Genomic DNA, 12757 nt, shown 5'->3' on the forward strand with positions numbered 1-12757 from the left:
AAAAAAAATGTGCAACACACAAATTCATAAAATTCTGCATTCTATTTCAGGAATCTAAGCAGTTTAAAAAAAATCTTAAAAAATAAAAATGTTTCTTCTTTTGGTGGTGTGAGTTATTTTTTTCCTGCTGCTTACCAAGGATGCTTTTTTAAATCATTAGGAATAACCCTGTCCAGTGTCTTCTCTGACAGTTGCGGAAGCTGAGGGCTTGCAAGCCTGTGTGGGGGCAGCCAGAGCAAATATTGGACTGACTGCTTGCTACATGTAGCTTCAGGTCCAACTGCTTTCCATGATCTAGACTGCTTCTCCTCCTAATGTTAAGAACAGGTACACCACTATGTGGTAGCATCACAAAAAAAAGTTAGAATTGACTTTAATCTTGTCAACAAAGGATGATAATTTGTTACAAATATGGAACACATACTTCACTTGTTCTACAAATAATCTTTGTACCTGATCTTTTGTTGTGGATCAATAAAGTCAACTGGTAAAAAAGGGACCTGCCTCAGGCCCCTTAGCCAGCTGAGCTCATGCCATGCTCCCATCTGTTCAAGGTCAATCCAACCAACATTTATTGATGCCTAGTATATACCAGGCACTGCTCTCAACACTGAAAACACAAAAATGACCAAGGCCCCACAGGGTTCGCTGGCTAATGGGATGGCAGGTGTGTAGACACATAGCTGTAATAAAAGAGAAGTGCTGAACTAGAGGTCTGCACAAAATAGAGGCCCAAAGCAGGGGCTTTTAACTCAGTGCGTTTGTGATGGGGAGGCAGGAGGGGTTGACTAGTGCTGCGGAGAAGGGAGTCAGTGGCAAAAGATAAGGCTAGAATAATTGATAGAGGCTAAATTCTAGAAAATTTGTTTTGCCATGTCAAGGACTTAAGATTGTATCCTGAAGGTAATGGAGGAGTACTGAAGAATTTTACATAGGAAAGGAACACACTCAGATTTCAATTTAAAAAGACTCTTCCAGAAAAGAAAATTACAGTTAGTTTGAAACAAGTAGAAATTGTTTCAATCACATCCTCAATGCACCCTAGAACAAATCTAGAGATTAACAAAAATTACAACACTCCTTCCAAAAAATAGTCCCAGCTCCTTAAAAATGTCAAAATTCACTTATGAATAATTTTCAGTTAAAGAGGAAATAACAGTTCAATTCAGACTACGCAGAAAATTTTATACATGAATTTAGGAGATGCTCTCAAATCCAGAGTCAGAGAAAAAACATACAGCCTTAAATGGTTTCATCAGTAATTTTAAAAAGATAAGAATAAACTAAAATTTCAAATCAAATAATTTAGAAAAAGTAAATAAGATGCAATTAACAAAAATAAAATGGAAGTGAATGTATTTTTAAAAGAAAAAGAATAGAACATAATTTTAAGACAAAAAATAAAAATTCAAAATTAGGAGTAAAAATGTACATAAATCTACAGACATGAAAATATTTTTACTTAAACCAGAATTTCATGTGCCACACTACAACAAATCTAAAACATCAAATCTCTGTAAAATAGATAATTTTCTAAGAAAATGTAGACTACCAAAATTATATCCAAAAGTTGAACAAGCAAATGCTATGGAAGAAATTGGAAAAGTTTGCCAAGAGATTAGAATCGGAAGGTTTTACGGGCAAATTCTTTCAAAATTTTAAGAAATCAACTATTCTTTTGTTACATAAAATGTTCCAGACCATATAATTTCTTTAAAGGCTCTCGTTTAATTTGCCAAGTTAGCATAATGCCAATACAAAAATCTGACAGAGACAATAGGCAATACAATGTCAATACAAAAATCAGACAAAGCACAATAAAGTCTTACAAAACTTCAGCCAATCTTATATTAGAATAGATAAAAAGATCAAAGTATATCAAGGGCAGGTTAAGTATGTTCATCATCCCCAATATAGCTGAATTTTTTTCCTGATATTTAGCCAATGCAGTAAGACAAGAAATATGAAATGCCAACATTGACAATAAGACCAAATGAACACTGTTTGCATAATCAACAACCCAGAAAACTAAAATTAATAAACCATTGAAACTAATTACCCAGTAAACTAGACAATTACAAAATAAATATATCTAAAACAATAGCTTCTTAAATAACAACAATAGCCACCTAGTAAATATAATGGTTAAAGGGGTCCATTTCAAATAGCAACAAAAATATAAAGTACCTTAAAATAAATTTAACATATGGGACTGCTATAAAGAAAACAACATGCTTTACAAAGATCCATAAAGAATATTTGAAACTAGAAATGCTATATCATGAGCATGGAAGATAAGATGTAATACTGAAAGCTATAAATTCTCCCCAAGTTAATGGAGTTTTACTCAAAACCACAATGGGAATTTTTAGAATCTGAAAGAAACAAAAGATTCTGACTTTCAAAAATTCTTTTGAAAAATTTAAAATGAGAAGAACTTGAACTTCATCTGCCAGAACAAATTAGAAATCTAGCAAATAAAACGATGCAGAGTAAAACAGAACAGAAAGCACCAAAACAGACCCAATCAGATAAGGATTTCATCTAAGAAAATGTGACATTTCAAATCAACAGGAAAAGATAAAATTATTAAGAAGTTGTTTCAGGACAACTATGTAACTATTTGGAAGAAAATGTAAATTCAATCCTTACTTCACATGGCATGCCAAAATTTCAAATAAATTTAGAAAATCAAATGTCCAAAATATAATAATAAAAGAACAAAAACATAGGTGAATATTGATCTGATGGTGAATATGAAAAAGTTTTCTATAAATAAAATTAGGAAGGATGGTAAGCAGAGAGAAAGGGAAAGAGAGAAGAAATATTAATAGACTTAACTATAACAAAGTTACTTCTAGAAATAAACATGACATATACAAATGCCAAAGACAAATACTAACTTGATTTAAAAAATTTGCAACATATAACAGTTAATATGCTGATAACCAGCTTTAGCAAATATATATATGAAAAATTAAAATATTGTTAAAAATAGACAAATGGCATGAACAAGCAACTCAAAAATGAAAACTGCAAATAATGTATAGTATTTGAAAAAAAAGTTTAGCTTCAATTATAAGCAAAGAAATTCAAATTAAAACAAGGCACTACATTTTGTTTAATTTCAAAAATTGAAATACCCAAGGCTGGTGAAGACATAGGGCAATGACTTTTGATACAGTTGACCCTTGAACAACACAGGTTTGAAGTGCATGTATCCACTTATGCATGGATTTTTTCCAATATATATTGAAAATCCTTGGAAGATTTTTCAACTATTTAAAAGACTTGCAGAACTGCATAGACTAGAAATACCGAAAAAATTAAGAAAAAGGTATGTCATGAATATATAAACCATATGTAGATACTAGTCTATTTTATCATTTACTACCATAAAGTATACATAAATCTATTATAAAAAGTTAGAATTTATCAAGACATATGCACACAAATACAGAACATACATGGTATCATTCATAGTCAAGAGATATGTAAACAAATGTGAAGATATAGTATTAAATCAGAGCTGCAAAAAATGAACTGCAGTACATACTGTACTACTGTAGTCGTTTCATAGATACCTCCTGTTGCTATTGTGGTGACTCAAGTGTTACAAGTATCCACTTAAATCGCCACTGTGTGATTCTAATCATCTTCGGGTGAGCAGTTCCTCTCTCCAGTAAATTGTGTATCATAGTGAAAAGTGATCTCTTGTGGTTCTCTCATACTTTTCATCGTGTTTAGTGCAATGCCATAAACCTCGAATAACACCATGGGATACACACGAAGTGCTGCTAGTGATGCTGGAAGTACTCCCAAGAAGCAGAGAAAAGTCGTGACATTACAGGAAAAAGTTGGATTGCTTGATATGTGCCATAGACAAGGTCTGCAGCTGTATTTGCCTATTTCAGACAAACAATTCATCTTGTAAACAGATGATGTCATCTTACATTATCAGTAAATACAGCACAGTACTGCAAATGTCTTTTCCTTCTGATCTTTTTAATAACATTTTCTTTTCCCTAGCTTACTTTATTGTAAGAATATAGTATATATACATATAACATAAAAATATGTGTTAATCAATCATTTATGTTATCAGTGGGGCTTCTGGTCAACAGCAGGCTGTTAATAGTTAAGTTTTCAAGGAGTCAAAAGTTATACCTGAATTTTTCAAGTGCACAGGCCATCAGTGCCCCTAACCCCCATATTTTTCAAGAATCAACTGTATATTCTGTTAGCAGAGCTTTATATTAATACAACACTTCTGAGGGGCAATTTAGTAATATGTATCAAAAGCCACACAAATATCCACCCTTTTGACCCAGGTTTTCTACCTCTCAAATTTTACGCTAAGAAAATGATCAAAGCTGCTTACAAAGATATGCAAACAAGAATATTCTTTGCAGTATTACGTCCATAAAGGAGAGTTTGAACCCTCTAAAATATATAATAGGGCCTCGATTATGTGACTTGCAGCACATTCAACTATACACTCATGAAAATTTTTATTGCAGATTCTCTAACAGCATAAGAAAATGTTCAAGATACTTAAAGAGAATGTTACAAAAGAGTATGCATAATATAATCTTAATCGTGCTTTAAAATTTTAATCACAAAATTTGTTATTTAATGTCTGTCGTGTTCACTCTAATGGTCCTAGAAGGTTCTCATCTCTGGCTGCAAGTTAGAATAGTCAGGAATGCTTTTGCGAAATATCCCTGCCTGGGTCTCACCCAAAATTAAATTAAATCAGAATCTCTGTGGGTGGTTTGGTTTTAATTTCTCCAAGTGATTCTAATGTGCAGTCACTGTCAGAAACTTTCTGTTGTATAGAGCTGCGATTCTCACCGTGGTCCATTTTGCCCCCAGGGAACATCTGGCAGTATCTGGGGACACTATTCGTTGTCTCAACTTGGAGTAAGGGATGCTACTGGCATCTAGTGGGTAGAGACCAGTTTTATGGACTGAATTTGCCCCTCCTAAAATCCTTATGTTGAAGTCCTAATCCCCAGTAACTAAGAATGTAAATGTACTTGGAGATAAGGTCTTTAAAGAGGTGATTAAGTTAAAGTGAGGCCTTTAGAGTGGGGCCCTAATCCAATAAGGCCAGCACCCTTATAAGAAGAAGAAAGGAACCAGGGATGTGGTCGCACAGAGGAAAGGCCACATGAGGACACAGCAATAAGGCTGCAGCCCACAAGCCAAGGAGAAAGGCCTCAGGAGAAATCAACCCTACTGGCACCTTGATCTTGGACTTACAGCCTTCAGAGCTTTGAGAAAATAAGTTTCCATGGCTTATGCCTCTCAGCCTGTGGCATTGTTAGGGCAGCCCTAGCAACTAATACAACAGGAATGCTGCTAAACATCATACAGTGCACAGAACATTCCCCACAACAAAGAATTATCTGACCCAAAATGTCCATAGTGCCAAGATTAAGAACTCCCTAGAGCCTAGGTCTGTGCTGTGTGTAGATAACCAATAAATATTTTCTTACCTAGGTGAATGACATATTTAATAGGTAGAAATCATCAGGACTTGGTCACCCATTGAATGTGACAAGAGAGGGAGAGGGAAGAGTCAGGAATGGCAGCCAGATTTCTGGTTGGGGTGACCAAGTGAAGGGAAAGAGCAGAATCCCGGAAAGTGGACAGGAGGGAGTGGGGGATAAGGTGGGAGCTGAGGGAGTGGGGGCATCCCGTGCAGGTGCTCAGTGGCTGAGCAGAAATAGGTTTCCGGAAATGAGAACTAGGCAATTGCTAGCATACAAGCCATAGTTCAGCAACCGCGGGGAGACAAGGCTGCCTGGAGGAGCATCTAGAATGAGCAAAGTGCCAGCTATGGAACCTTGATGACTGTAAATACTTAAAGAGTGGGCAGAGGAAAAGGAGGACAGAGGCACTACGGGGGCTTTAGTGCAAGGGCAGTTCATGGAAGCTGCAACGGTGAGTCCTACGGACCTATGTCACTGAGCTATCCTACCCAATTATCCAACCAAACACGAAGGTAGGTGTTGGGGAGATGTTTGTACATGTGGTTGGCCTCTATAATCAGATAACTTTAAGTAATGGAAATTAGTCTCAATAATGTGGGTAGGCCTCATCCAATCAGTTGAAAGGCCTTAAAAACTAAACTGAGGTTCCCCTGAGAAAGAAGAAATACCACCTGTCAAGGGCAGCTTTAGCTCCTGCCTGAGAGTTTCCAACCCACCAGCCTGCCCCCCAGGGTTCTGACTTGCCAGCCCCTTGTTCTGTTTCTCTGAAGAACCCTGATGGATACAGAAGCCAAAGAGGGGCTCCAGGAGAAGGGAAGCTGATGGCTCCGTTCTGCACCCTCACACATTGGCTGTGGCACATATGACTGAAAAATAAAGGGTATTCCATACCCATGGCAAGAGCTCAGAAGAGAAATCAAGAAAAAAGAGGAGAGGTCTAGGAGAGAGGGCAGAGGAAAGCTTCAAAACTGTGTGCCCACTGGACACAGTGGCTCACACCTGTAATCCCAACACCTTAGGAGGCCAAGGCAGGAAGATCACTTGAACCCAGGAATTCGCGACCAGCCTGGGCAATAAAGTAAGACCTTGTCTCTACAAAAAAATAGACAAAACTAGCCAGGTGTGGTGGTGAACACCTGTGGTCCCAGCTACTGGGGAGGCTGAGGTGGGAGGATTGCTTGAGCCCAGGAGATTCAAGGCCGCAGTGAGCCATGATCGCACCACTATGCCCCAGCCTGGGTGATAGAACAAGACCCTTTCTCAAAAATAAGTAAAGGAAACTGTGTGCCTACCTGTGGAAATGAGAAAGACAGGACAGGGCAACATGTAGAGACCAAGTCAGGAAACAAGCGCCCAGCTGTCCCTCCCTACACCCATCACTACTTGAGCGCTCACCACACCCTGAGAGCTGTCAGCAGTTTACACGCACTAATTCTCATTACAGTCCTTCCAGGGGGGAGTTTTCATCTTTATTTTATACAGGTGGCAACTGGACCACTGTGAGAGACCGAAGAATTACCCTAGACCTTTTGCTAGCATGTAGAAGAACCCAGAACCAAACTCAGGCCTCTCGGATTCCACACTTCTGCTATTCACCACAAAGCTGTTATTGTGCAAGCTGCTTGGTCTGGTGGAAACGTTAGGAGTGGAGAAATGGAGTTCTAAGGCCAACTCTGCCCTGATGGGCTGCCGGGTGTCCACAGGCAGGTAGCAGGTGGTAGGAGTCATCTGCTGTCATGGAACAGCCCAGGCTTCAGGGTCATACACCTAGAGCTGCATCTCAAGTCTACCATTTACCAATTGGGTGCTCTTGGGCATATCTCTTACCCTTCCCAAAATTCAGCCTCCCCATCTCCAAAAGAGCGATAAATTATATCTTTAAAAGATGGTATTTTTTGAGACAGCATGCGCAAGGCACAAAGCACATAGAAAGTGCCCAAGAATTGGGAATTCCAGTCCATTTTCAGTGTTCACTGGTCCTTGGTTTTCTCACACATTCCACCTCCTGCAGGGTTGTTGGGCTGCTCCAATGAGATGATAAATGCAAATGTACTTGACAAATTCAAGGCATCATCACCATGGAAAGACAGGATACACACACTATATTTTATACAAAATTTAGCCACCAGTTGTACAACCCCGAGCAAGTCATAGAAACTTCCTGTGCCTCAGTTTCCCCGTGTGAAAACCAGGCAAAGTGAAAGCTGCTCCACCCACCCCCACACTTAGCCTTACGAGGACACATAAGTGCAATTTGTAATAATTATACATTGAATTTCAGGCCATACGGTTATACTGGATTTCTAAACAGCCAGATGACATTCCTAGCCCCCTTCCCCAAAATCGTATCATGGAATATCATCCCCGTCACTAGCTCTAACTTTGTGGAATTCTCTTTTGCTGTTTCAACCCCTGATTTGATTCACATCTCCTATCTTGCTCCCGCTGTCATTTTCTCTCCCAGACTCAACACGTGGCTGCACCGATATCCTCCCTCTGTTTCCTTTCTTGTTACTACATGTCCAGTAGCATTGCATAAAAGTGCTCAAAGGGAAGGGTCAAGCTCCGTTTCAAGTCTGAGGTCTGGGATTACATCAAATCCGTAACGTTTATCTGACCTCGCCATCAGCCAAATACTTCCCAATTTAAGTCTCAGTCACATCAAGAGAAGACTGAATAGTACAGGCTGCAGAGTGCCCTGCTTTCGCCTCCATTTTTCTTACTTAATTCCAAGCGTATGGCTCCCAAACCCACTTAGGCCCTGTAATGGTCACAAGCAGTGTGGCCATTGGCAACCAGGCAGCATTTCACCTGAGGCAGCTCAGGGACTGCGGGGCTGCTGTCAGAGCAAACAGACCGCCTCCATGGACTGGAGGGAGCAAGGCTCACACAAAGGGCTTTTTGTTTCAGTTAAATAAGAAGTCATTTTGAGCCCAATTTCCAAAGTGCCTCACTCTCCACGTGCCTTGGGCACACAGTGAACATTACTATTGTATGGCAGAACTCCCCTGTTCTACCTCACACAGCCCAAACTTAGAGGCAGGGGATATTGGCTTAGGAGGTGCCCCCTGGCAGCAGATGGGGTGTGCATCTGTTATCTTGTCCCTTGTGCAGAAATTTATCTTATTGCCACTAAATCAACAATGCATAAACAATAGGGTGCATCCCTAGTGCCTAGGACAGTGCCTGAAACCCCGGGGAAACATGATGAATATTTGTGCAGTGAATAAGCAAATGAATAAAAATAAAAGGAATAAAAAGTTCACGTGGGGGTTAGAAGGAAAAATAGTTTCAGATTTTGTTTTGTTTTGCTTTGTATTTAAATGAAAGAGGAGAAGAAAGAACTATAATTTGAGTTCCAAATTAGAAGGCAACTAGACCCAGGAAAGAGTAAGTCATTTGTTTGACCATTTGGGGGCATAGCAGTCAGCCAGCAGGTACCCAAAACAGACAGTGCAAGGCACAACTCCAGAAATACTTCCAGGTTCGAGAAGTCTCTGTGACTTCTGCCCCCTCAGCCTCCACTCTTCACTTCTGCCTTGTTTTGCTCTCCCTGCTCTGCGTACACAACCTGAATGAGGTTACTTAGCCCTGACAGCTTTCTCTGGGGAGCAATTAGAGCCTTTAAGATCTTACCTATGCTTCACCAGAAGTCTTCTCATTAAATAGTTACTTCAAATGTTCCCAGGGCTGAAAACATTAAGATTTAAAGGGAACAATTGACTGCTTTTTTTCCATGCCAAATCAGACCGTTGTTTAACATGGTGAGAGCTACCACTGAGGTTACTGAAGTAGAAAAAGGGGGTTATATGTTGCTGGAGAACAGAAACTTAGCAGGGAAATTAAAAACAAGACAGGCTCTGGGACCAAGTAAGTCAAAGTGATGTCTTCAAGGAATCAGGCTTTGCAGAGGTCCTGCGGCCCAAAAGTCAGACCCTCAATACCCTCCAGGGCTTCCAAAGCAACTCTGTTCTGCATCCCATCTCACAAAATAATTGGGAGCTACCAGCAAGATGCCTGCCACGAGAGGGCAGCTTCCTGGAGGGGGGCCCTTGAAGGATGGCGAGCCCAGCAAGGACAAAGCGTGGCAGGGTGAAGAGCAGTGTTTGAGACAGCAGGGCCCATCTGAGCCTGGAAGCTTGTTTTGAAGCAGAAGCTGAAGTTCTCCTTTCTGACCATGCCCCACCCTGCCGAGAGAACCTTGCCCTTCATGGGAAAGTGATTTGGGGAGCACCAAAGTCATCTGTGTCTTAGTTGTGTGGGGCATTGAGCTGTCTTGGAATTGTGACTCATCCACTCATGCATTGTGGTTTAACATAGGGTTCCAATGTATTAAAATTTATTCATAATTTCTAAATGGTATCAGGTCAGATTCGAAGATGAAAATAAACATCATCTCCTTCAAAGTTGAAGTCAATTAACCCAGGACAGGAAGAAGACTTCTAAGTGAGCAAAGAAAGAGGAACACATTTGTTTGGTGTCCAGCTCAGGATACATGGAAAACATTCCTTGGTTCCTTTTAGTGCGCATGGGCTTCTGTTTCCCAGAACTGTCCCAGAAAGATGTCTTCACTTTTCTAAGCTGCAAGTATACATAAGCATCAGGATAAGTCAGTAATTAAATCCCTACACAAAGCAAACTCAGATTTTTTTTTGCGTGTGTGTGTTCTTCATAATTTCCCATGTAGGCCTTGTTCTCTTGGCAGGGTGGAGCCCTGTTAAAAAGACCAAGCTGACATAAGCTTGCCTTCTAGCTTCCTGGGCTCCTTCTAGTTTCCTGGGAGCTGGACCCTATGCCCAGCACTCCCCCTTGCCATTCCCCAGTTGACATTGCCATGGTTGGTGATCACTTCATGACAGAAGCCACCTTCCTAGGCATCATTCTTTCCAGGGTCCCTGGAAGGTTATCTAGGCCTTTTGTTCTGAATAAGACTTCGAATTTTCATCAGACCTTCTGTACACATCTCCTACAGGGAACTTTGGCTCTATCTTTGCCAATCCTTTCTATAATGGGGGAAAATCTCATGATAGCATTCTTGCCTCCCCATTGTAGTCACAACTCAAACTGCCAGCCTCTCTTGCAGTTAGAATGCAGGCCTGTGACATAGTTCTGTCTTTGTACACACCTGCATAAGATTTTGCTTTAGAAATGAAGTGAGCAGTGTAAGGAACTGGGCTCAGCAAGGGAATCCCTTCGCTGACACGGTAGCATCAGTTCTTGGGAAGCAGCAGTGCACAGGGTAGAAATGACAAGTTCTTATCATTGAGTTCTCAGTAGCTGCAATGGTGGTTTCATCTTCAGGCCAGTTCTACAGTGCGGTTGGGGCACTTTTTCTGGAAACTTAACCTGGAATTTGCTTTCCCTGCCCCTCAACTCCTAATGATCCCAAATATTCAATAGATCCATTTTATTCTTGAAACAGGTGTTGCCGTTGTCTGTAACCAAGAATGTTGACAGTGGGCATTTCAGGAGCTGAGGGCATTTCGGGGGATCACTCTTCTCCTGGTCTTCAGTGACAGGGTGGGAGGCAAGGATCATCCCTTCCTGGGGATATAGAAAATTCATTCATTCACTCAATATATAGCAAACTTGTGAGTTAGGAGCAATCCTTTCTGAGAATCAGTGATGTCTGCAGATGTAAATTCCTTTGACACCCACATAAAGCTATAGCATAGAGGAGCTTCAAAACACACAGGCTTAAGCTTCCACACACACCCCTTTGCCCTCCTTCCCTGGCCCTCTCTTGATCTTTACTTCAATCCTCTCCAGGCAACCAGATCTCTCAGACCCTTCTCCTCCACTAACCTCAACCAAATTTGAAATCAACCTCTTTAAGGTTTAATGACCAAAATGGCTTGGAATGTTATCCTTTGCCAGAAGTATTTGTATGATACAGGAACTAGAGCCTTGGACTAAAAGGACAATGTCTCCTAGTGAAATTTCAGGCATCAGCCAGTCAATAAAGAAAATTTGTGTTTGATTTGCTTCAATTTTCATCTATTTGTTTGTTTTTACCAATGAGGATTTCCCTGGGAGACTACAAAGCTGTCATCTAGGAAGAAAGGACTCAACATTTGTGGGCCATCTACATATATGCAGGTGGTGTGAAGGATGCTTTTTCCAACATGACCACACTTACCCTGGCCCTCACCATTCCAGCCACACTGGCCACCTCGCTGCTCCTCCAACATGACACATGCTCTCTGGCCTGGGCCTTTGCACTGACCAGTCCCTCTGCCTGCAGCACCCTTTCCCCAAAGATCTCCATGGCCCACTTCTTTATCTTCAGGTATCTGCTCAAATGTCTGCAAGTAGACACACCTTCCCTGACCACCTGCCCTCCACCCATCATGCTTGGTATTCTCACTCCCCCAACTCTGCTTTATTAGTTCCCCACATCACTAATCGCCACATGGCATACTTACTTAGTAATTCACTGTCCAGCTGCTCCCAGCCCCAACCACCACCACTAGAAGATCAGTTCTAAACAGGCAGGGATTTTGTGTTTGCTCACTGCTCCTCTCCCCAGCACCTAGATCAATTATCAACACAGAGTAAGTGCTCAACAAAATCTGTTGACTAAATTAAACTCATACAGAATGATGCAAATATCATTCTAACTTTCAGAAAAATAGCGATGTTTAGAAAAATTAAATTGTTCAAGGTTCATTAATCCATTAAGCCTTGCACCCAAACCTGAATCTGTGCAGCAAGAAAGACCGAGCTTCCTCACCCCTTCCTCCCTAGGCAAGTTAATCAGAGGGAGTATTCAGGGTCATGCCCTCAGCTCCTCAGTGGCCATCCAACCCCTTCCTGATGGGTAACACTTGCATAGCTTAAGGTAACATCAGTTTCTACAACTGGTAAACCTTCATATATAAGTGGGTTAACCCAATAAAAGAGTGTGATACAGGTATGCTTGGTAGGAACATTCTCCTCCAAGTGGTGAATCAGGGACCCAGGCTCTTTCTGATTTATGGATCAACTACCTTCAACACATGGCTCTCAAGGTGGTCCTGGAAATCACTTCCATTCTAGCCATGGAATGAGCATGAAGATCACCTAAGGGGGTAGAGGAGAAACACTTCTACTCACATGACATTGGCCAGCTCTCAGTCACATGGCTACACCCAACTGCAAGGGAGTCTGGGAAATATAGTGTGGCCATGAGCCCAAGAAGAGGAGAAAAGAGGTGTGGTGATAAATAACCAGTCTCAGAGGATCCCCTGTCATCTTCTATTAGTAACCTAGGTTTTAGA

General features: G+C 40.9%; 2 annotated features.

The window, feature by feature from the left end:
• Positions 8897-8946: a silencer, noted in NCBI's record as "silent region_11508". NCBI's record gives its function as "represses an Ori minimal core promoter by ATAC-STARR-seq in GM12878 lymphoblastoid cells {active_cell/tissue: GM12878}" and the evidence as "EXISTENCE:reporter gene assay evidence [ECO:0000049][PMID:35858748]".
• Positions 9317-9506: an enhancer, noted in NCBI's record as "active region_15798". NCBI's record gives its function as "activates an Ori minimal core promoter by ATAC-STARR-seq in GM12878 lymphoblastoid cells {active_cell/tissue: GM12878}" and the evidence as "EXISTENCE:reporter gene assay evidence [ECO:0000049][PMID:35858748]".

This window comes from Homo sapiens, chromosome 2 (genome assembly GCF_000001405.40).
Source record: "Homo sapiens chromosome 2, GRCh38.p14 Primary Assembly".
Taxonomy (NCBI): domain Eukaryota; kingdom Metazoa; phylum Chordata; class Mammalia; order Primates; family Hominidae; genus Homo; species Homo sapiens.